Here is a 23,561-nt window from a genome sequence, read left to right on the forward strand (position 1 = left end):
GCAAAAGGGAAGCTGCAAGGACCATGCCTGAGGCTGGCCCACCGGGAGCTGTCAGCAGCTCTCAGCCTGGGTGGCCATGGCCTACCAGCCTGGAGAAGCTGGCCCCAGCCTCATGCAGAACACACCTGGTGGCTATGGCCCGAGACTTCCTCCCTAACGTGGAATAGCACCTTCGCAACCTCTCACTAGGATGTGGGGCACAGCCAGCACACAGCACTTTCTGTGAGCAATGGTTTTTTTTTTTTTTTTTTTGGAGACAGTCTTGCTCTGTCGCCCAGGCTGGAGTGCAGTGGCACAATCTCAGCTCACTGCAACCTCTTGCCTCCCAGGTTCAAGCGATTCTCCTGCCTCAGCCTCCTGAGTAGCTGGGATTACAGGCACATGCCACCACGCCCAGCTAATTTTTGTATTTTTAGTAGAGACAGGGTTTCACCATGTTGGCCAGGATGGTCTCGATCTGACCTCGTGATCCACCCACCTTGGCCTTCCAAAGTGCTGGGATTACAGGCATGAGCCACCGCACCCGGCCACAATGGCCTTTTTGTCACTGCTCCCTGTGCTGTTTGGTGGCACTGTTTTCCCATCCTATGCTGTCTTGACTCCCACTGAAGAATGGTGGTCTCAGGCCACAAGCATGGGAATGTCTGGGGTGCTGGGAACACAGTGCTGGCCCAGCTGGGCAGGGGGCTTAGCTGGATGTCCTGGCAGGGGCACAGCCCTCTTATACCCCCTAAAACTCCAGCATGGCCTTGCCCGATGATGGGTGTGGAGTCACTCAGCATGCCACCCCTACATACCCAAAGGCCCCAGGTCTGCCCCATGTGCCCCGACTCCCACAGAGACCCCCCTCCCAGCTTTGCTCTTGTGGACCCTTGAACATCAGGAAACACAAACACAACCCAAACCCCTTCCAGAGGAAAGCTCAGGCCTGAGGTCTGAGAGCACAGCACCCCAGCACTTCACGAAAAGGTGTGTGAAATCCTAAGCTCTCGCACTTCTGCCTCTGCATCAGCCCAGGACACCACTCCACCCTCTTGGCGGGTAGGCCTCTGTGGAGGTGAGTCACCCCTGCCTGGACACCGTGCTGCCCTGCTGCTGAGGACACTTATACCTCAGCTCAGAAAACAGGGCCTCCAGACTGAGTGAGTGGCTCATGCCTGTAGTCCCAGCATTTTGGGAGGGCAAGGCAGGAGGATCGCCTGAACCTCGGAGTTCGAGACCAACCTGGGCAATATAGTGAGACCCTCATCTCTGCCAAAAATTTTTATTTAATTAGCCAGGCACTGCGGCACATGCCTGTAGTCCCAGCTACTTGGAGGCTGAGACAGGAGGATTGCTTGCACCTGGGAGGTGGGGGTTGCAGTGAGCCAAGATTGTGCGAGTAGTGCCCCCAATGGCTCCGCCAACCCCGACATGGCAGGTTTCAGCTCCATCACCGCCCTGTTCCCTCACCCCACGTGCCACTCGCATGTCTCTCTCAAAAAGACACCCCCACTTTCCCCCAGCTCTGCTCAGCATAGTGGTCTCCACCTCCTGCCTCTCCCTGCAGCAGCCTCTCCAAGATGCTGTCCATTCTGGAAATTGAAAATCCAAAATCAGTACTTAAGGGCAAGCATAAGGTGCCAGCAGGACCAGGCTCCCTCTGGAAGCTCCAGAAGAGAATTCGTCCTGCCTCTTCAACGGCCAGTGTCTCTTGGCTTGCGGTCACGTCACTCCACTCTGTCTCTGTGGCCACATCGCTGCCTCTTTTTATCAGATCTTCCTCTGCCTCCCTCTGATAAGGGCCTTAGAGATTACATTTAGAGCTCAACAGGATGATCTTCCCATCTCAAGATCTTCTACTTAGTAACATCTCCAAAGTCCCACATGAGTTCACATTCATAGATTTTGGGGATTAGGATGTGTATATCTGTGGGGGCCATTATTCAGCCAATCACAACGAATATACAGCACGATCCTAATTTTCATAATACAAAATAAAATGTTTGTGTGTGTATATATATATATATATATATATATACACACACACACACACACACACACACACACACACAATAAAATGTATATATACAGATAAAAAACCTGGAGGGATCTAGGTTACCTGTGGGATATGGGACTGTGGGAACTTTCTGTGTCTATAATTTGTGTAGTGTTTGAAGTCTTGTAACATACTAATTTTATCATGACACACCCAAAATTTACTTGTAGATTCTCTCTGGATTGATATAAACATGAAGAATTTTATTTTATTTTATTTTTTGAGACTGGGTCTTGCTCTGTTGCCCAGACTGCAGTGTGTAAAATCACAATTCACTGCAGCCTCGAACACCAGGGCTCAAGTGATCCTCCCACCTCAGCCTCCTGAGTAGCTGGGACCATGGGCACACACCACCATGCCCAGCTAATTATTTAATTTTCTGTAAAGACAGGGTCTTCCTATGTTGCCTAGGCTGGTCGTGACCTCCTGGGCTTAGGCAATCCTCCTGCCTCATCCTCCCAAAGTGCTGGGATTACAGGCATGAGCCACTGCACCCAGCCACATGAGGGACTTTAAACTATCTGGTGACATTCACACCTGAGGCAGGTGCTCCCCAGGGGGCTATCTCCGGAAACAGAGTGACCCACCAGGGCTGGGCCCCAGGGGCTTCCGCACCGCCACACCAGCAGCAACGCCCTGCTGACCTGCAGCAGGGACAGCAGGGAAGGGGTACAGACAGAAGAAAACAATGACAAACAGCCTTCCCTCTCCCCAGTCAAGGCCACGGCAGGGAAGTGAAGGGGACATCAAAAGGAGACCAAAGCTTTGTCCAAGGAGACTCTGAGAGCAAGGGTGAGAGGCACACTGTCCACACAAACTCCTGCCAGACAACCTCAGAAGAGGGCATCAAAGCTTTGTCCAAGGAGACTCTGACAGCAAGGATGAGAGGCACAGTGTCCAGCACAAACTCCTGCCAGACAGCCTCAGGAAAGCCAGGCCCAGCTCCTTTCAAAAGCTCAACACAGGACCAGTGAACAGCCACAGGCATTTACCATGTGGTCGGTGCTCATCAGGACACGGAGGGTCACTGCCTCCCTCACTCTGCAGGGTTGTATGGAGTGGTGAGTTCTTTTAAAATTCTCTGTCTCCTGAATGCTATGAAGGTGGGCAGGACATGGTGTTTACTGAGTCCTGTCCAGCCCATGAAGTCCAAAGGCACAGCTGGGCATGGTGGCTCATGCCTGTAATACCAGCCCTTTAGGAGGCCAAGGTGCGATGATCACTTGAGCCCAGGAGTATGAGGCCAGCCAGGGCAACATAGGGAAACCCCGTCTCTACCAAAAAAAAAAAAAAAAAAAAAATATTAGCCAGGCGCACACCTGTAGTCCCAGCTACTTGGGAGGATGCTTGAGCCTGGGTGGATCATGATGGCACCACCACATGCCAGCCTGGGAGACAGAGCAAGAACCTGTCTCAGAAAAGAAAAAAGAAATACAAGGGCACAATTTGGTAAGTGCTCTCACAGAGGATAGATAAAGGGTCCTGAGATACAGAGGCGGGAGACTTACTCTCAAAGACAGAATCCAAAAAGGCTGCTTTCGGGGAAAAGTGGCCTGAGAGTCAGGCCTTGTTGGACAAGTTCCCCTAACGTGCTAAGCAGAGACCTGTTTCACAGGCCAAAAGAGCATGGAAGCTCAGCCAGAGGGACCCAGGCGGGCCCACCTCACGCCTGTGTTCCTCGGCAGCCTCTGCTGCCCCCTGGTGGCCATGCTGTGCACACCGCCACCAGACGAGGGCGCCACCCACAGGCACCACCTGCTCCCACCCTCAGGCAGTATTTCAATGGTCCCGTGGCTCTGGGCCACGCCCACATGACTAGCAGCCACAGCTGATCCCATGGCCTGTTGGCCACCCCATCAGCAGCCCCTGCTTCTGATTTCTCCCCGTGCTTTTTTTTTTTTTGGAAACAGAGTCGCCCAGGCTGGAGTACAGTGGCACAATCTCAGCTAACTGCAACCTCTGCCTCCCAGGCTCAATTGATCCTCACACCTCATACCCCCAAGTAGCTGGGACTACAGGTGCACGCCACCACACCCAGCTATTTTTTTTTTTTTTTTTTTTGTATTTTTTGTAGAGACGGGGTTTTGCCATGTTGCTCAGGCTGGTCTCAAAGTCCTGGGCTAGGATGACAGGCATGAGCCACCGTGCCCAGCCTTGCCTGCGCTTTTCCTCCCACACTCCAACCAGATCCGCAGACGAGGCTGAGGGGCCCTCCATCTAATCAGAAAGGGCAGCCCTCTGCATGGACAGGCCCATAAGCATGTGGCTCAGCAAGGACGTGGCATCTTGTACAGAGTGCACAGGCCAACACATGTGCACACACAGGGGCGTAAGGCCACCAGGTTAGGTCTCTGTTCTGCACATGGGAGGGCCCCGCATCCAAGCTTCCTGCCCTTAGTTCCCGTATGTTGTTCATGCACCACTGTGAGACCCCCATGGCCCTGCCCGCTGCTGCCCTGCCCACCCCCTAGCTCTGGTGCCTCAACCTCCAGGACTGCAAGCACCCCAGTCCTTTCTCTCACAGACTCGCCTTACCTCTCTGAGACAGAAGAACAAGTCAGTCCCGTGGCTCACTCACAAAGCCAGCCCTGAACCCAGGTCTGACTCAGATGCCAAAACCTCCAGCCATCCCAGGGACTGGCCCCACCCCATGGTGGGCTGTGCCGCGGCTCTCAGCTGGACACAGCCCCTGTGGATGTACTGTGGCAGGCGGCCTGCCTTTCCTGATGCCCCAGCACCGCCACATGCCACCCATCTGGGCCTCCAGAGCTATACCTGCAGCAAGGCCAGGTCCGCATCTTGGGCTAGCTGCTGCAGGTTCTTCACAGCAGATGTGGTCTTGATCACCCGCACTAGGGCAGGGGAGCAGTCAATAGGAAGCTCACCCAGCAAGGACTTCTCATCACTGAGCAGCAGCAGGGCATGGTAGGGGCTGCAAAACAATCACCTGTCACGGAACACACGAAGTGCAGGAACCCTGCACCGGGTATGCACCAGGTCCTGCACCAGGTATGCACCGGGTATGCACCAGGTCCTGCACCAGGTATGCACCGGGTATGCACCAGGTATGCACCTGGGACTCAAACACACGGAACATACGAAGTGCAGGGAACCCTGCACCAGGTATGCACCAGGTCCTGCACGAGGTCCTGCACCGGGTGTGCATCAGGTATGCACCTGGGACACAAACAGGCAGCTGGAGCCTCCTGGCCCTTAACTGCGGAGAGAAGGGCCAAGAGCGGGATTTGAGAAAAGGGCAGTGGTCTGTTTGGAGGCCTTCACAAAATCTGCCAAGGACTGGCTCATGCCTATAATCCCGGCACTCTGGGAGGCCAAGGCAGGCAGGTCACGTGAGGTCAGGAGTTCGAGGCCAGCCTGGCCAACATGGTGAAACCCCATCTCTACTAAAAATAAAAAAATTATCCGGGTGTGGTTGCACCCACCTGGGGTCCCAGCTACTCGGCAGGCTGAGGCAGGAGAATCACTTGAGCCTGGGAGGCGGAGCTTGCAGTGAGCCGAGATTGCGCCATTGCACTCCAGCCTGGCGACAGAGTGAGACTCTGTCTCAAAAACAACAAAAACAAAACCTGCAAGGATTATGTCACCCTCGGAAAAAAACACGACAAAAGTGGGGAAGGCTCGAAGACTGGACTCTGTATCCCACCTCAGAGACGCCCAGCAAACATCTGTTGATTGAAGACATGAATGAATCTTTCCTAAGGAAATTGTCCCAAATATGGGAAAAGCAAAATCCTCCTCACAGACTAGGGACCAAAGTACATTAAAATATGCTTAGCTAGGATTGAAAGCAAAGAGCACGGACTGGGGAGGGTGGAACTAGGCAGCGCTTTGCTTTCTGTCATTTCCAAATTTTCAGCAATGTGCCCAGATATATTTTTATAATTAAAAAATGTTCAAGGTATTGGGGGACTTGGGAACAGGTGGTGCCAGAAGACTGGGCTCAGTTCTTTCCTTGCAGAAAATCAATTAAATTGCCAGGGCATGGTGGCTAACACCTGTAACCCAGCACTTTGGCAGGCCGAGGCGGGTGGATCACGAGGTCAGGAGTTCAAGACGAGCCTGGCCAACATGGTGAAACCCCATCTCTACTAAAAATACAAAAATTAGCCAGGTGTAGTGGTGTGCACCCATAATCCCAGCTACTCAGGGGGCTGAGGCAGGAGAATCGCTTGAACCCGGGAGACAGAGGCTTCACTGAGTGGAGACTGTGCCACTGCACTTGAGCCCCGAGCAAGACTACATCTCAAAAAAAAAAAAAAAAAAGTCAATTAAATTAAGAAAGTATATTTTGGGAGGCTGAGATGAGCGATGAGTGGATCACCTGAGGTCAGGAGTTCGAGACCAGTCTGGCCAACATGGTGAAACCCTGTCTCTACTAAAAGTACCAAAAAAATTAGCCAGGCATGGCAGTGGGCGCCTGTAATCCCAACTACTCGGGAGCCTGAGGCAGGAGAATCACTTGAACTTGGGAGGTGGACGTAGTGGTGAGCCGGGATCGCACTACTGAAATCCAGCCTGGGCGATAAGATCAAAACTCTGTCTCTCTCTCACACACACACACACCCCCGCAAAAAAAAAAAAAAAAAAGAAAAAGAAAAAAAAAAGAAAAAGAAAATAACTGAGATCCCATGAGTGCTGACTGAAATGCAAAAGACTGGGGTAGGGCAACACCATTAAGATGAAGTCCCTCCAGCCCTCCGGCCTCCCCAAGGACACTCAGCCCCACATCCAGGCTGCCCTGCCCAAGCCTAAGGTGGTGCCAGAAGGGCCCAGGAGAAACCTGGGATTGGTCATTTCTGGACACAACTGGATACAAAATTATGTGTTTTAACTTCTATAAACGGCAGAGCCCCACCTGCAAGCTTCCGCAGTGGGAAGAAGAAAAAGAGAAATTTTGGAACAAAGTAAGTGGTAAAATCTCAGGCAGAAGCTAAAGGGAAGGGCCCTGGCAGGGAGTGAGCACGTGGGGCTGGGCACTTACCGGATGGCTTTCAGGCTCCGTTCGATGGCCTCTGGGGGGATCAGACTGGAGGCCGCATAGTGGATCTTGTGGGGCAGGCAGAAGCTCACCTCCAGCCAGCTGTTGATGTGAAGCCGAACTACGCCCGACGTGCACAGGCTGCAGAGAGTGGGCGCTGTTACCCGTTCACATAAACTTTCTAACCATGCACACAGATCAGAAAACACCCTGCTCAATGGTGCTGATTCCCCTGCTGCTTAGGGGAAACTGCAGGTGGAGACCCGGGCAGGAGAGCATCTCTTAAGATCACATTATGTTTAAGAAAAGAAAATATGGGGGCCGGGCACGGTGGCTCATGCCTGTAATCCCAGCACTTTGGGAGGCCAAGGTGGGCGGATCACGAGGTCAGCAGTTCGAGACCAGCCTGGCTAATAACACGGTGAAACCCCGTCTCTACTAAAAATACAAAAATTAGCCAGGTGTGGTGGCGGGCGCCTGTAGTCCCAGCTACTCGGGAGGCTGAGGCAGGAGAATCACTTGAACCCAGGAGGTGGAGGTTGCAGTGAGCTAACATCACGCCACTGCACTCCAGCCTGGGCAACAAGGCAAGACTCTGTCTCAAAAAAAAAAAAAAAAAAAAGGAAGAAGAAGAAGAAAGAAAAAGAGAAACATATTTCTGGCTAGCCCTGGAATCTGTAGTCCAACCAGACTGCCAGGGCTTGAGAGAAGCCGTACCCTGTCCTGGGGACTCAGTGCACTAGAGGCACTCTAACTCAGGCCCCTGCCCGTCCAGACCCCTGGCAGACACCCAACACCCAGAGTACATCCTCCCTGTGAATGGGCCTGCCCTGCACACCTCATGAAGACCCGTCACAGGTGCACGTCCAGGCAGAACAGTGGCTGTCTCAGAGGGCGAGGAGGGCAGGGAAGGAATGCCAAGTCCCCCAGAGTGTTCCAGTGGTGAGAAGCACACAGTGCCCACCTCCCTGCAGTCTGCAGATGCCCACAGCACCTCAGTTGCAGTGCATGTGGATACCAAGTGGTCACCACAAGCCAGCCGTGCTAGCCAGCCCCAACACTTCACTACGACGGAAAACCTTTCACTCCACATTCTATCAGTAAGGGTAACTTGGTTCTTTCGGGTCCCAAAGCTTGCTCAGGCCAAACATAGCAACACCATCCCAGTTTCCTTATTTCTTTCACAGTCCACTTTAAACCATCAGCAAATCCCATCTGCTCCACCTGCAGGGATGTCCAAAATCCAGGCCTTTTCAGCATCACCAGGCCCAAGCCACCCAGAGCACTGGCCCCTCTGACTACCGCTCCCCACACTCCCACCTGGGCAGTCCCAGCCATGGGCCTGCAACACCCACGTTCCTGTGGCCTCACTCCCTGTGCCCAGTCACTCAGGTCCCGCTGTGCTCAGGGCCCTGGCATTTGCCCTTGCCCACAAACTCTCTGCAGACGCCCCAAGGCTCCTTTACTCCATCGGTCTCCACTCAAGTGTCACATTCTCAGTGAAGCACCCCTGACCCCAGCCCCATTGACACTCCAACCCCTGACCCGCTGCCTAATGCTGTCTCCCCAACCAGAACTCACTCCTGAGGAGGGGGGCTTGTGGGTTTCATTCTCTGCTCTCTACACATTGTAAAACGTGTCAGGCACATAGGCACGGAGCTGCATTTCCTGAATGAAGCCAAGGAACACACCGCCCTCCCTGCATGCACTGTCTTTCCTAGGAAGCCCTGCCCCAAGAACAGGCTCCACAGTGGGGATGCAGCCCACGTCATCCCCTCGGGGAACCACACAAAACAAGGAAGGAGTTGTTTTCACCAGGAGCTTCTAAAACTCCCTGATGGAGAAGCCAGGGCGCCACCCAACTCCACCGCTCACCACAAAGCGCCCTTGCCTTAAGTAAGAGCCAACAGCACTTGTTCTATGACACAGAGGAGATGCAACTGCTCAAGCAAAGCTGTCTGCAGCTGGCCTTCACCGCATCCCCGGAGGCTCCAGGCAACAGGGGGGATCTCCACCTACTCTTGTCAAGGCCTGGCTACTCAAAGTGGCCGGCACCTTCCTTGTGTCCTGCACAGGGAACGCAGCCTGTGAAGCCTCACAATGACACCAGTTCTAAAATAGGAGCAAAACACACACAAGTTCTTCTCCAAACTGCCCATTTCTACAGCACCTCCCCGCATCATGTTTCCTCTGTTCACTGCCCCACTGCCCAGGAGAGCAGCCAACTAGTGCTTTTCCCATCACCCCCTGACCCTATTCTGCTATTCTCAGCTCCCAGTTGGCGGGACAGGCCAACACACCCACATCCGGCTAAGTCCGGGAGACTTGGCCAGACTTCTGGCTGCCCCAGGCCAGAAGGTACAAACGGCCCCTCGGACGTCTCTTAGGACACGTCAATACGGGGTGCTCAGAGAACACCATGGCCCCAAGGTCCCAGAGGAGGGCAGCAGTCTCAGCTTCTTCCAGAACTGCATGCTAACCAAGTATGTCGGGGCAGACAGAGGCTCCCAGAACCTTACCTCTCTTTGGTCAGGGTCTTTGCAGGGTGAAAAACTCGTATCAAACCCTGAGAAATGTCCCAGCCGCTAAGGAATTAAAGATCACACCAGGAGAGATTTGTCCAGGGGATCCAGGTTACTCAACTTGAGTAAGCAATAGTTAGGATCTTGGCATCCGTATGCGACAGGGAAGAAAGGGCAAGCGAGAGGTGGCCCCATGCACTGTGCTGTCACCATCTGGGTCAGAAAGGAGGGCCACTGGAAATAAAAGGTCTATTTTTTTTTTCTTTTTTCTGAGACAAGGTCTCACTGTTGCTCAGGCTGGAGTGCAGTGGCGCCATCTCCGCTCACTGCAGCCTTGATCTCCCAGGCTCAAGACAACCTCCCAAGTAACTGGGACTACAGACGTGCAACATCACGCCTGGGGTGATTTTTTTTTTTTTTTTTTTTTTTTTTTTTGTAGAGACAGGGTCTATGTTGCCTAGGCTGGTCTCAAACTCCTGGGCTCAAGCGATCCTCCCACCTTGGCTTTTCAAAGTGCTAGGATTACAGGCGTGAGCCACCGCACCCACCCAAGGCCTTTCTGTTTCTGTCCTATTTAGGATGCAGCTCAAAGTGGCTGTTGGGACACCACAGAATCAGAATACGGAGGCTCCTATTGTTTCAAATGTAGCTGTCTTTGCTCCATCTAGGAGCACAGTGAGGCCTTATGACATGTGCTGTGGCTCCCAGCACCAGTTTAGGTACTTGGAGTGCAGCAGGGAAGAAAATAACTTGGCTGCTCTGCACGCTGGGGGCTTCACTCAGCGGCATCTAGACAGACACATAATTGGCCGGGCGTGGCGGCTCACGCCTGTAATCCCAAAACCTGGGAGGCCGAGGCAGGCCGATCACTTGAGGTCAGGAGTTCGAGACCAGCCTGGCCAACATGGTGAAACCCTGTCTCTACTAAAAATACAAATATTAGGCCGGGTGCCGTGGCTCACACCTGTAATCCCAGCACTTTGGGAGGCTGAGATGGGCAGATCACCTGAGGTCAGAAGTTTGAGACCAGACTGACCAACAGGGAGAAACCCCGTCTCTATTAAAAGTACAAAATTAGCTGGGCGTGGTGGTGCATGCCTGTAATCCCAGCTACTTGGAAGGCTGAGGCAGGAAAATCACTTGAACCTGGGAGGTAGAGGCGGAGGCGGAGGTTGCACTGAGCTGAGATCGTGCCATTGCACTCCAGCCTGGGCAACAAAAGTGAAACTCCATCTCAAAAAAAAAAAAAAAAATTAGCCAGGTGTGGTGGCAGGTGCCTGTAATCCCAGCTACTTGGTAGGCTGAGGCAGGAGAATCACTTGAACCCAGGAGGCGGAGGTTGCAGTGAGCCGAGATCGCGCCATTGCACTCCAGCCTGGGTGACAGAGCAAGACCCTGTCTCAAAAAAAATTGAAATTAACGTTTAAAAAAAAAGACACCTAATTGTAATCAAATTGTATGGAGCATTAGAAACTGGAGAGAGTTATAGGGAAAGGAACAGGGGCTTGGAACACACCTCATGGAAAGCCAGGAACAAGTTCCAGCTATGGGTATGGAGAAATGAGGGCAGGAGGGTCACATGAAGGTTCTTCTAGTGACTTCCCAGCTTGGTCATCTCTGCTGCCCTCACCGTGTCAGCTGTCCTTGGAGCCGCAGTCATGTGGTCTGGTTTGTACACTGGCATGGGGCCCTCTCCTCTGGCAGAGACACGCCATGTTGGTTCCTCTAACTTCCACGTGGACTTTACTCCATTTTCCCAAGCATCAGCTCACCCACCTGCTGCTTTCTCCCTCAGAGCACTCTGCACTGAGGCTGGTGCTTCTTTATGAACTAACCCAGCTCCCTAGAGCGGTGACAAGTGCTGCCACCAGGAGTGCCCCAAAGGCCATGGCAGACCTGGGCAAATTCCCTGAACATGTCAGAGGGATGACTGCTCTGGAAAGGTGCCGGCCCAACCTCCAGCCTGTAAATCCCCCACAGTAAGAGGGTAAGCCAGGAGCTGCACTGAGGTCTGTTAACAAGGGGAAAGAGAAAGGTTTGTCACTGTTTTTAAGTCTGCAGCTTTAAGACAAGAGCCCTTAGCACAAGCAGGGTTTGGGCCCTGAAAGGTTTCCTGCCGAGCTTGCACTTCTATTTGCAAGGTGTTTAATGGTTTGGTCTGAAAACACTCTGGAGGAAAACACTGTCCTCCTCAAGACTTATCCAGCCCCTCACACAGCTCTGGGCCAGCCAAGAGGGCCCAGCCCAGTCTGTGACAGGAGATAGGTGCCCCAGCCAAAGCCCTGCATCCTGACAATGACTATGCAAAAGGGAATGGCTGGCTTCAAACACACTCTCGCCGTTCATCTCCAAGACAGAAATGTGCACAAGCTTAGTCTAGTCCCCTCAGCTTTTAGCATCTGAGAAAGCATCCATTCCTAACCTTAGAACTAGACAGGACCTGTGAAGCTATCCTGCAAACCTCTGCATCCTCTGGTCCCACGGATGGGCCTGGCTTCCTACCATAAGTAGTGGGATGCTGCATAACCCAAAAGATCTATGTGGGTTCCAAACAGCCTACCTTGAAATTTCAAACGAAAGTTTATATATAGGTGCATTTTTATGGAAATGGGTACTACAACTCAGGATATTCACAGAGGGTCCATGGGACCAACCCTGCTCTCGACAGTTTGCAGTGCAAGGCTCCGCACCAAGTACCACCTACCCAGCCAGACCCTGGACATCACTCCCCACCACAGGTCCTGTTAACTCGGAGAACCATTCAGCAAATCACTTCTTCACACTCCATGGAATCTACACTGCTGTTATTCCCACCCACACATTCCGTCGACCCCTAGCGGATGAGCTGTGCTCCTCCACAGGCTGAGTGTAGGGGCTGTGTTGCAGAAAGTGAAGAGACATCCCTGCCCTCCTGGGAGACACAATTCAATGGTCATATGAATGAGTGACATGCTGTCACTGAGGGCCACTGGGATCCACAGGGAGACACAAGTGCTAGGTATGGCACAAGTGTTGGGGTGGCCTCCTGAGCGATTCACATTCCCAGCCTATATTCACAGATGTTAGGTCCTGCAGGACAGGGCCACCAGGCTATTCAGCCACACCATAACCCTAGCTTTAATTAAAATAGCAACTGGGGACCGGACGTGGTGGCTCACGCCTGTAGTCCTAGCACTTTGGGAGGTCGAGGTTGGCAGATCACGAGGTCAGGAGTTCAAGACCAGGCTGGCCAACATGGTGAAACTCCATCTCTACTAAAAATACAAAAATTAGCCAGGCCTGGTGGCAGGCGCCGTAATCCCAGCTGCTCAGGAGGCTGAGGCAGGAGAATCACTTAAGCCCGGGAGACGGAGGTTGCAGTGAACTGAGATTGTGCCATTGCACTCCAGCCTGGGTGACGAAGCAAGACTCCGTCTCAAACAAACAAATAAATAAATAAATAAATAAAATAGCAACTGGGGGCAGGGCATGGTGGCTCACGCCTATAATCCCAGCACTTTGGGAGGCTAAGGTGGGTAGATTGCTTGAGTCCAGGAATTCAAGATCAGCCAGGGTAACATGGCAAAATCCCATTTCCACAAAAAAATACAAAAACTATTCAGGCGTGGGGGCGGGTGCCTATAGTCCCAGCTACTCGGGAGGCCGAGATGGAAGGATCACCTGAGCCTGGGAGACAGATGTTGCAGTGAGCCAAGATTGCGCTCCAGCCTGGCAATAGAGTGAGACCCTGCCTTAAATTAAAAAAAAAAAAAAAAAAAAAAAAAAAAAGAACCAGGAACAATTCCTTTGAAAAATCCCACCCCAATCTCCAACCTCATTAATCTCACAGCTTCTGGTCTTTCAGTTCTGTTCTGAGATTCCCCCAGATCTGGCAGTCAGTCACCATCAGGAGAAAGGCGCTCTGTCCTAGGTCACCTGATCAGTAATGGAAACTCAGTCTCCTCCTCTCAGTGCAGAAGAGTGAGCAGCAGCAGACCAGACCCTTGAGGCCAACCATGGACCTGATGGGATGAGGACAGACGAGAGGCCACAGCCCAGAGGGGCTCCTGGGTGGCTGCAGAGCCATGCCAGTGCCAGACAAGGATGGGTACAGGGAGGGTACTACTGCCTGGACTCCTGCCAGAGAAACATAGCTGCCAGCATCCCTGGGGCAAGCTCCAGGACCCAAGACTGTTAGGGTGGGAGTTTGGATGGAGGAAATGTGATCCTGGGCACTAACAAACAGAATGCGTAGGTCAGGAAAGAATGCTACATGCTGAACAACAGCTTAGGAGCCTTTTTCAGCAAAACTCAGATTCCTGTCCTCCTTTAATATCCACTAGGTGGCGCTGGGTTGCCTCAAGTTCTGAGCTCCTCCGCAGCCTGCAGATCACACAACAGGCAGTCCAAGGTTTTGTCTCCTTTCAACTTTCCAGCACGATTCAAACCTAAGAAATCATAGTCCATTCTTCCTTTAGAAATATAAAGTCAACGAGCCGGGCACGGTGCTCACGCCTGTCATCCCAGCATTTTGGGAGGCCGAGCCGGGCGGATCTACAAGGTCAGGAGTTCGAGACCAGCCTGGCCAATATGGTGAAACCCCATCTCTACTAAAAATACAAAAATTAGCCAGGCATGGTGATGTGCACCTGTAGTCCCAGCTACTCGGGAGGCTGAGGCAGAAGAATGCACTCCAGCCTGGGCAACAGAAGGATATTCCATCTCAAAAAAAAAAAAAAAAAAGAAGAAGAAAAAGAAATATAAAGTCAATGGTTTGGTTTTTATTTAAACAAATTTTTAAGAGACAGGGTCTCACCATGTTGCTGGGGCTGGAGTACAGTGGCTACTCAGACACCAGCATAGAGCACTACAAGCTCGAACTCCTGGGCTCAAGTGATCCCCCAACCTTGGCCTCGCCTGTGAGATGGGACTACAGGAGCACACCACCGCACCAGCTTGGTTTTTATTTTAATTCCAAGTTAGCCTGATTTTTGTTTGTAATCTAATCCGAGTTGAGGCATACACTCAGAATAAGGGAACAATGTCCAAGGAAGAGACTGGATACCAGGCAATTCAAAGCCAGAGGGTAGTAATTCTCTCAACACAGAGAAAACATTAGTGTGATAACAATGAATCAAAGACAGGGTCAGACTACATGACCACAAAGGTCCCATTCTGCAACACAGAAGGGGCCAGAAAACAAAGCAATCACCTGGCAAGGGCTGATGTTCTCTCACACCTGGGGAGGCTCAGTCCCCAGGGTCACCAAGAGACAAACAAATGCTAGTTGCAACTTATATCACAAAAGACAAATCACTCTCCCATGTTTAAGGACTTATATCTCCCGATAGAAGAATGAACAAGGGATCTGAGCAGCGAGCTCACAGAAAAGACAGGTGGTTCAAACATGTGAAGAGATGCATCAGTGCATCACAATAAAGCTACACAGAGATCCCATTCCCCACTTGTTATACTGGTTAAGATCCACAATTTCACGAGACTCGATGTTGGCAAAGCTCGGGGGAAGAGGCATCTCGTGTGTTGCTGGTGGGACAGAGGTACAAACCCCTGAGAAGGAAACACAACATTACAAATGCCATTTTCCCTATTAGTAATGCCTTTAGGAATTTATCTTATAGATACAGAGGCGCACATACAAAATAACACAGGTAAATGGTTAGCACTGGAAGGCTGGAACAAACTCAATGGTGGGGGCAGTTGCGGCTCACTAGGCAGCCAAAAAAAGAATTAAAAAGTATTTTTTAAATTTTATTTATTTTTTATTTTACTTTTGTTTTTTAATTTTTATTATTATTTTTGAGATGACATCTAGTTCTGTCACCCAGGCTGGAGTGCAGTGGCGCCATCTCAGCTCACTGCAACCTCTGCCTCCTAGATTTAAGTGATTCTTCTGCCTCAGCCTCCTGAGTAGCTGGGACTACAGGCATGCACCACCACGCCCGGCTAATTTTTTGTATTTTTAGTAGACAGCGGGTTTCACCATGTTAGCCAGGCTGGTCTCGAACTCCTGACCTCGTGCTCCACCCGCCTCAGCCTGGCAAAGTGTTGGGATCACAGGTGTGAGCCACCGCGCCCGGCCTTTTTTTTTTCATTTTTGATACGCGGTCTGGCTCTGTTGCTGGGGCCAGAGTACAATGGTACAACCATGGCTCACCATAATCTTGATTTCCTAGGCTTAAGTGACCCTCCCACCTCAGCCTCCTGAGTAGCTGAGACTACACTTGTGCCACCACACTCAGATATTTTTTAAAAATTTTTTGTAGAAATGCGATCTCACATTGTTGTTCAGGCTGATCTTGCACTTCTGACCTCAAGAAATCCGCCCCTCAGCCTCCCAAAGTGCTGGGATTACAGGCGTGAGTCACCACGCCCGGCCTGCTTGTCCACATTTAATAAAGGTGATGCTCAGCCAATACAATCAGAACAACTGTGAGGTTTTCATGGTATCCTCAAGGCTTGCTGCCCTCACACAGTCAGTGTCGCAAACCCCAACTCTCTCAGACTGAGAGGAGACAGCTGGCCCCAGCCTCACCCACTGAGCCTCAATTTCCTCTTGAGTGACTGGAGTCAGTGACACCCACCTAGTGAAGGTGGCCCAGCACTTGGTGTTGCGTCATGCTCAGTAAAATGGCATTTTGCATCTGTTTGATTTAAAAACACTTTCGGACTCTCATGTATAACTTCGGGCTCGTTTTCTGTTTTAAGAGGAGTCTGGAGGTGGTGGTTCCAGCAGAGTGCATGCTACTCAGCAAAGGGGTTTAAAAAAGCAAAGGTACTCAGGGGTTTGTACCTCTGTCCCACCAGCAACACACGAGATGCCTCTTCCCCCGAGCTTTGCCAACATCGAGTCTCGTGAAATTGTGGATCTTAACCAGTATAACAGGTGGGGAATGGGATCTCTGTGTAGCTTTATTGTGATGCACTGATGCATCTCTTCACATGTTTGAACCACCTGTCTTTTCTGTGAGCTCACTGCTCAGATCCCTTGTTCATTCTTCTATTGGGAAATATAAGTCCTTAAACATAGGAGAGTGATTTGTCTTTTGTGATGTAAGTTCCAGCAGAGTGCACCCTACTCAGCAAACCATTTAAAAAACAGCCACTGGCCGGGCGCGGTGCTCACGCCAGTAATCCCAACACTTTGGGAGGCCGAGGCGGGTGGATCACCTGAAGTCGGGAGACCACCCTGACCAACATGCAGAAACCCCGTCTCTACTAAAAATACACAACTAGCCGGGTGTGGTGGCGCATGCCTGTAATCCCAGCTACTCGGGAGGCTGAGGCAGGAGAATCTCTTAAACCCAGGAGGCAGAGGTTGCTGTGAGCCGAGATCGTGCCGCTGCACTCTAGCCTGGGCAACAAAAGCAAAACTCCATCTCAAAAAAAAGAAATAAATAGAAATAGAAATAAAAAATAAACAAAAAAAAACGGCCACCAAGGTCACTTCTTTCAAGAGCAGCCACATGACCATCCCTTCCCAGTCCTCTCCGGCCCTAACCTCAGGGAACCCTGATGCTCACACCCCAGGAGAACAGTGGTCAGTACCGGGGAGCCCTACCTGTTGACGCTGCTCCTCAGGCCCAGGCAGGCTGGCCCATAAGAAGGAGGTTAATAAGCACACCCACCTGTCTTACCTGTCATAAGCTTCCTTGAGGTCCCTGGCCAGCTTGCACTTGGGCAGGATGTGATGGAATGGGGACTGAGGACCTTCATTTCCTACAAGAATCACAACACAAGATTTACAGCTCCCGGGTTCAAGCGATTCTCCTGCCTCAGCCTTCCAAGTAGCTGGGATTACAGGCGCCCGCCACCATGTCTGGCTAATTTTTTTGTATTTTTGGTAGAGACAGGTATTCACCATGTTGGCCAGGCTGGTCTCGAACTCCTGTCCTCAAGTGATCCATCCACCTTGGCCTCCCAAACTGCTGGGATTATAAGCATGAGCCACCACGCCTGGCCTAGACCTGCTAATTTTAAAATTTTTTGTCTGGGATTACAGGTGTGAGCTACCACATCCAGCCAAAAAGTCTTTTATTCATCCTTTTTCATAAATTTCTAAAAATATATACATAGACTTAAAATAAAATTTCTTTTTACTTCCTGTGATAAAGTCACAGACTCTAAAAAGATAACGTTTAAAAAAACAAAACTTTTGGATTGTTATTATCACAATTATAATTAGTATATAATTGGCCAAAACAGAAACATATTATAAATTTTGACAGGTAACCGGGCGCGGTGGCTCACACCTGTAATCCCAGCACTTTGGGAGGCCGAGGCAGGCGGATCACAAGGTCAGGAGATCAAGACCATCCTGGCTAACACGGTGAAAACCCCGTCCCTACTAAAAATACAAAAAATTAGCCGGGCGTGGTGGCGGGCGCCTGTAGTCCCAGCTACTCGGGAGGCTGAGGCAGAAGAATGGCGTGAACCCAGGAGATGGAGCTTGCAGTGAGCAGAGATCACACCACTGCACTCCAGCCTGGGTGACAGAGGAAAAAACAAAAGAAAAACTTTATATATTTGACAATTACCTGTCAAAATTTATTTTATTTTTATTTATTTATTTTTTTTTTGAGACAGGGTCTCACTCTGTCACCCTTGCTGGAGTGCAGTGGTGCAATCTCAGCTCACCCCAACCTCCACCTCCCAAGGCTCAGGTGATTCTCCCACCTCAGCATCCCGAGTAGCTGGAACTACGGGCACATATGACCATGCCCGGCTAATTTTTGGGTTTTTTTCGGTAGAGGCAGGATTTCACCATGTTGCCCACACTGATCCTGAATTCCCGAGCTCAAGCAATCTACCTGCCTCAGCCTCCCTAAGTGCTGGGATTACAGGCATGAGCCACCGCAGCCAGCCACAGGTAAATTTGTACTGAAAATGCACCTGAGTCAGAGAGGCTGTTCTTTATTATTGTTCATTCATGTCAATAACTAATTTTACTTATTGCTACAACAACTAGGTCTGACTTTAGTTTTGTTCCTAATTCTCTCTTTTGTTATAGAGGTGCTGGCCAAAGAAAATGGAGATGGAGAGTTTGTTACAGGTGTCTCTTTATGTTTTGAAATCTTTACAGTAGGCCAAAAAACACTCAATGTTCTGTCTGCAAAAATTATTTTTAATAATTGGTTAGTTGATAACCCAATTAGGTCCTCCTTCAATCTGGCTGAAAGCAAAGAACTGGAAACTGTCCACCTCACCAGCTGGATATTTCCAACGCCCTCTCCTGCCCCAGGGAGTAATAGTTTCTTCAACATCTCCAACAGGACCAGGGCTAGGCAGAGCTGCCTCACCTATGTGAACGGTGATCATGCAGCAGTGTGTGGGAAGAAAGAACATTTCTGGTCGGGAAATCTATTTCAACACATCCAGCCAGGAAAATTCATCTACAAATGTGCCCCTTGGGAGTCTTCCTGTGCCCCCCAGGCACAATCAGCCCCGTGTGAAGATCATGTAACTTCTCTGAGCCTTAGTTTCCACATCTGCAAAATGGGGATGATCATGGACACTGCCTAGCGAAGCTGTTGTGAGGACTTCATTTTCAATGCACAGCTCACCAAAAGCCGATGCTTGCAAGCTCCTGACTGCTCTGCTGGTGTTGGGGTGGGTGAGGCCCCGCCAACATCTGTATCATTAACACTGAATGACAGCCCCTCCACAGAGGTCTGCGCTGCAGAGAGGCCACCAGCCAGCCCAGACCCATGCCCATCACGCCCTGCTGCACTCACCATCAGCCATGGCGGACACCTCATCCTGGAGCGCCAGGATCAGCTTGGCCTCCCGGGTGAGGTACTGGCAGCGGCGCTCCTCGTGCTGCAGCACGGTGGCGATACGACGGGACAGGTTATGCAGACAGTTTATCACTGACGGGTCTGCGTTGGCCTGCAGGAGAGAGACCATACACAGACTCAAACGTGTGCACAGGGACACAGCTGGACACAGTTTAAATGGAGCTAACACAGGTACACAGCAAAAACTCAAACCATGAAAGAAAGCGTCTCTACTCCTTTCCCCCAGGCTCCTTTGCAGAGGCCACTGCTGCTCATTTCCTGAGTCCCCTCCAGGGCCCATCCATAGACATGTGGGCTGTCAGCCCCCATGCTCTGTTCTTGGGAGTGGCTGCCTGAATAGTAACAGAGATGGCTCTGGAAATGCCTGGGTGCCCTAAGGAGGCACTGTTGTTCTTAAGGAAGAACAACAATGGTGCCTCCCTCACCAAGGACTGAATGGAAGAAATTAGCGAGCCATGTAACAAACTAAGAACAGAACCTGCCCTGAGCAAAGACCCTGCTAGTGTCTGTGGTCACCACTGTACTGCTGACTACTGGTAGGCAGAACCAGTCTACAATTTGTAAGAATTCAGTCACGACAGGCCACGTTACTACAGGGATGCACGGTACAAAAAGAGAGGCACCAGGCCAATTGTTCACTGAATACTTTTGGTCCTGAAGGATGAGAAGCTCTTCCCAGCAGAAGTCACACTGGTTAACAAGAAAACCAGCAGGCTCCAGGCCCATATCTCTGCCCAAGAGCTCCTTCTGCAACCATGATGACTGGGTCAAAGGACAGTGCAGGAGGCTCTCAGGAACAAGAGGGGCCCTCGACCCTCTGGAACCTATCAGGGACCACAGTCAGCCAGGCAAGCACATCTGCCCAAGCCAAGGGTGGAGGCATGCAGCTGTGGGGGTCTGTGAAAACACTTGAGGGAGCAGATAACTGGGCCAACCATGACTCAGTGCTTCTGGAGGCCAACAGGACTGCTGAGTCATCCTGTGGGGGTGGAGGTGGGACAAGGGAAAGGGGTGAATGGTACTGCTGATTACAACCTCTGGTGCTGCCTCCCCCTCCTGTTTATCTGAGAGGGAAGGCCATGCCCAAAGTGTTCACAGCCAGGCTTCAGGGGCAAAGCCTGACCCAGACAGTAAATACGTTCTTCATCTGGAGCTGAAGAAATTCTCTATATTCTCATCAGATCCCATGTTCACAAACAGAACTCACACCTGGATGGACTTACAACAAGGCAGCATCCCTTGCCAGAGAAAGGACTGTTGCTCCCATGCTGTGCCCACCACTGGGCAGCAGACCTGCTCCTCCATGTCAAGGGCATTGCCTCAACAGTGTCCTTGGGACCAGAGGGCTGACATATGGGGTGTATACAATTGCCTCAAAACAAAATACCCACCTAGAAGAAGAATCTGTGTACAAATACTTCCACGAGCAAAGCAAGGAGGAGGACAATGATCCTGGATATGTGATTATTCAGCTGAGGCACAACAGTGTCCATGAGTTGGATGTCCAGGGCCCATATGCTTGACCTTTCCAGACATACAAAGTGGTGCAGTCCCCAGTGACGCTCAGTGACCTGCACTCATGGGGTGTCCCAGCATGTCCGGTTTGCAAAGGCCTGACATGGAGTGAGGGACATGCTGAGAAAGCTAACACCTAGGGTGTGCCAGCACTAATGGGAACTTTTAGAAACACCATATTTTCACCATACACGACATAAAGTGGCAGGAAGTTTAAGGCATCACGCATGAGACTTTCTCATCCCCAAAACTTGTACCCAAATAGAACCAAGCCTTCAGAGTTAACTTGTAGTTTGAAGGAAACACAGGGACAGAGAGCAAGTCTGACTGCACAATGAGATTAATCCAAATGTGGAACATTTGATGGAACAAAGGGAGGGGAGACCTCTGGATTGGCAGAGACATAAAGACACCACATGCACTAGCTGGGCTGGGTTTGCATCCTGGTTCAGACAGTCCAGCTGTGAAAAGGCTTTAGCAATCAGGAGAAGCTTCAATGGACCAGGTACTAGGTGATGCCAACTTATTACAGCAAATTTTTTCAGATGTACAAAGGGTATCATGGCCGAAAATTAAGTGCCCATATTTTATACAGATATCTTCTGAAGTATGTAGGGATGAACAGACATAAGGTCTGGGACTTGCCTTGAAATAGAGAGAGGGAAGGAAATATATGGAGCCAGGGTTTAAAGGCACCTGAGACAGGCATATAAGGTTTGTCAGTCTGCTCTCTCTATTTCAGGGTTTAAAATTTTTCAGAGTAAAAAAAAAAAAGTGTATTTCTTTTTTTTTTTAAGATAGGGTCTCACTCTCTTGCCCAAGCTGGAGTGCAGCAGATGATCACTGCTCACTGCCACCTTGACCTTCCAGGCTCAGGTGATCCTCCCACCTCAGCCTCCCAGGTAGCTGGGACTACAGGCGCACATCATCATGCCTGGCTAATTTTTGTATTTTTTGTAGAGATGGGGTTTCGCTATGTTGCCCAGGCTGGTGTCAAACTCCTGGGCTCAAGTGATCCACCCACCTTGGCCTCCCGAAGTGCTAGGAATACAGGAGTGAGCCACTGTGCCTGGACAAAAGTGTATATTTTAAAAAGAAAGAATATATATTTAAAATGACAAAAGTGTATATTTTAAAAAGAAAGAATATATATTTAAAATGACAAAAGTATATATTTTAAAAAGAAAGACTTGTCCACCCAAAAAATACAAACTCTTTACATTATCAAAATTTCTCCTACTCGTCAATATCACGGCCAGCTGAAGTCCTAGACTATCTTGTTTCCTGTTGCTTTTTTTTTTTTGAGCTGGAGTTTCGCTCTTGTTGCCCAGATTGGAGTGCAATGGTGCGATCTCTGCTCACTGCAACCTCCGCCTCCCGGATTCAACCGATTCTACTGCCTCAGCCTCCTGAGTAGCTGGAATTACAGGTGTCCACCACCACACCTGGCTAATTTTGTATTTTTTAGTAGAGACGGGGTATCTCCATGCTGGTCAGCCTGCTCTCAAACTCCTGATCTCAGGTGATCCGCCCGCTTCAGCCTCCCAAAGTGCTGGTATTACAGGCGTAAGCATTTGTGCTCGGCTCCGGTTGCTTTTACCTGTCCGTAATCAATCTATACTTCTCCAGGTTCTGGTCTGATCTCCATTTCTCACCCTTGATGGCAAGAGGATGGGCCAGTGTATAATAATCACCACATTGTTTAATCACTCCCCAACTACTACACACTATGATTATCTCCAGTTTAATTATTGTTATAAAAATCTTTATTCTTGCTGAGAACAAGCCTGGGGGAAATCTTTACGCAGTTGTAAAAGTTGCTTGTTTTTCTTGATAATACTCCTAACAGTGGGACTGCTAGATCTAAGGGCATCATATGCTATGCTGTCAAACACTACTCCCCGAGGTGAGGGCCTGCCTACAGCATCCTGGAAACACTATTCCCCGAGGTGAGGGCCTGCTTACAGCATCCTGCAAACACTGTTCCCCGAGGTGAGGGCCTGCCTACAGCATCCTGGGTGGGGCTGTGGCTGCGTTTCATCAACTGTCCCACAGGGGTTATCGGTGTTGACAGGTGGACAACATTCGTCATGGATTTTGTTTACTCCTTTGCTTGTTTTTTTACTTAATTCATTTTTCTTTGTGGCGCTTTATATTATGTAATTATGTAAGAAATACAAAGATGCTATGAAAATGCAAATACTACAAAAGTGTATCAAGCAGAAAGTGAAGAACTTCTCCCAGAACCCTGTACCCCAGGAGCCATTAACAAATCATTTTGTTTTAATTTGTAGTTCCTTATTTATCAACAAGGCAGGCCTGTCTTAAAAATTAAGCTCCAGCTGGGCATAGTGGCTCACACCTGGAATCCCAGCACTTTGGGTGGCCAAGGAGGGAAGACCATTTGAGACCAGGAGTTCAAGATCAGCCAGGGCAATAAGGTGAAAACTCATCTCTACAAAAAATACAAAAATTAGCAGGGGCAGGGCACAGTGGCTCACGCCTGTAATCCCAGCAGTCTGGGAGGCCAAGGTGGGTGGATCACCTAAGGTCACGAGTTCAAGACCAGCATGGCCAACATGGCGAGACCCCCCCCCCCCACCGATCTCTACTAAAAATACAAAAATTAGCTGGGCGTGGTGGCGCACACCTGTAATCCCAGCTACTCGGGAGGCTGAGGCAGGAGACTCACT

At 50.4% G+C, this 23,561-nt stretch overlaps 1 protein-coding gene across 5 annotated transcripts in view, besides 14 other annotated features; it reads right to left on the reverse strand.

Annotated features, from left to right (window-relative positions):
• Positions 1-23,561, reverse strand: part of NPRL3 (NPR3 like, GATOR1 complex subunit) — a 53,288-nt gene that overhangs the window by 7,946 nt on the left and 21,781 nt on the right. For all 5 annotated transcript variants that reach the window (NM_001077350.3, NM_001243247.2, NM_001243248.2 and 2 more), the window contains 4 exons: positions 19,291-19,444; positions 17,194-17,275; positions 7,041-7,178; positions 4,814-4,970 (listed from right to left, as the gene is read on the reverse strand). In NM_001077350.3, the coding sequence (NP_001070818.1) occupies positions 4,814-4,970; positions 7,041-7,178; positions 17,194-17,275; positions 19,291-19,444 (531 nt within the window). The remainder of the gene's footprint in view (positions 1-4,813; positions 4,971-7,040; positions 7,179-17,193; positions 17,276-19,290; positions 19,445-23,561) is intronic.
• Positions 1-23,561: part of a locus control region, noted in NCBI's record as "regulatory region from 0-65 kb upstream of the HBZ (hemoglobin, zeta) gene; 5' extent approximated based on the cNFG2 cosmid described in PMID:2253879", that runs on past both edges of the window. NCBI's record gives its function as "regulates expression of the alpha-globin genes during erythroid development" and the evidence as "EXISTENCE:transgenic organism evidence [ECO:0001131][PMID:2253879, PMID:1425590, PMID:17110138]".
• Positions 11,291-12,290: a DNaseI hypersensitive site, noted in NCBI's record as "HS-48; erythroid-specific; the nucleotide coordinates are approximate for this feature". NCBI's record gives the evidence for it as "EXISTENCE:in vivo cleavage assay evidence [ECO:0001075][PMID:15782197]".
• Positions 11,757-11,824: a conserved region, noted in NCBI's record as "conserved region; multispecies conserved sequence MCS-R1; overlaps HS-48". NCBI's record gives the evidence for it as "EXISTENCE:sequence alignment evidence [ECO:0000200][PMID:15998734]".
• Positions 13,425-22,728: an enhancer, noted in NCBI's record as "9304 bp BglII fragment 10 (or 11 in reverse orientation) containing HS-40". NCBI's record gives its function as "activates HBA2 gene expression in stably transformed mouse erythroleukemia cells {active_cell/tissue: MEL}" and the evidence as "EXISTENCE:transcriptional activation assay [ECO:0000170][PMID:2253879]".
• Positions 19,899-21,098: an enhancer, noted in NCBI's record as "MED14-independent group 3 enhancer chr16:163229-164428 (GRCh37/hg19 assembly coordinates)". NCBI's record gives its function as "activates an origin of replication core promoter dependent on BRD2, BRD4, P300/CBP and CDK7 cofactors, and independent of MED14, by STARR-seq in HCT116 cells {active_cell/tissue: HCT116}" and the evidence as "EXISTENCE:reporter gene assay evidence [ECO:0000049][PMID:35650434]".
• Positions 20,163-20,518: a DNaseI hypersensitive site, noted in NCBI's record as "HS-40 major regulatory element; erythroid-specific; 356 bp core fragment from PMID:1875946; the nucleotide coordinates are approximate for this feature". NCBI's record gives its function as "major positive regulatory element (PRE) in stable transformants" and the evidence as "EXISTENCE:in vivo cleavage assay evidence [ECO:0001075][PMID:2253879, PMID:1875946]".
• Positions 20,164-20,513: an enhancer, noted in NCBI's record as "HS-40 350 bp Taq1-XmnI enhancer fragment". NCBI's record gives its function as "activates a HSV thymidine kinase promoter in transfected mouse erythroleukemia cells {active_cell/tissue: MEL}" and the evidence as "EXISTENCE:reporter gene assay evidence [ECO:0000049][PMID:1875946, PMID:8381311]".
• Positions 20,174-20,191: a protein binding site, noted in NCBI's record as "HS-40 footprint I (FP-I) GATA-1-binding site". NCBI's record gives the evidence for it as "EXISTENCE:protein binding evidence [ECO:0000024][PMID:1875946, PMID:7721747, PMID:1569944]".
• Positions 20,177-20,420: a conserved region, noted in NCBI's record as "conserved region; multispecies conserved sequence MCS-R2; overlaps HS-40". NCBI's record gives the evidence for it as "EXISTENCE:sequence alignment evidence [ECO:0000200][PMID:15998734]".
• Positions 20,267-20,281: a protein binding site, noted in NCBI's record as "HS-40 footprint IIa (FP-IIa) GATA-1-binding site". NCBI's record gives the evidence for it as "EXISTENCE:protein binding evidence [ECO:0000024][PMID:1875946, PMID:7721747, PMID:1569944]".
• Positions 20,281-20,303: a protein binding site, noted in NCBI's record as "HS-40 footprint IIb (FP-IIb) AP-1/NF-E2-binding site". NCBI's record gives the evidence for it as "EXISTENCE:protein binding evidence [ECO:0000024][PMID:1875946, PMID:7721747, PMID:1569944]".
• Positions 20,316-20,337: a protein binding site, noted in NCBI's record as "HS-40 footprint IIIa (FP-IIIa) AP-1/NF-E2-binding site". NCBI's record gives the evidence for it as "EXISTENCE:protein binding evidence [ECO:0000024][PMID:1875946, PMID:7721747, PMID:1569944]".
• Positions 20,374-20,388: a protein binding site, noted in NCBI's record as "HS-40 footprint IV (FP-IV) GATA-1-binding site". NCBI's record gives the evidence for it as "EXISTENCE:protein binding evidence [ECO:0000024][PMID:1875946, PMID:7721747, PMID:1569944]".
• Positions 20,408-20,421: a protein binding site, noted in NCBI's record as "HS-40 footprint V (FP-V) GATA-1-binding site". NCBI's record gives the evidence for it as "EXISTENCE:protein binding evidence [ECO:0000024][PMID:1875946, PMID:7721747, PMID:1569944]".

The sequence above is a fragment of the Homo sapiens genome, chromosome 16 (assembly GCF_000001405.40).
Source record: "Homo sapiens chromosome 16, GRCh38.p14 Primary Assembly".
NCBI lineage: Eukaryota > Metazoa > Chordata > Mammalia > Primates > Hominidae > Homo > Homo sapiens.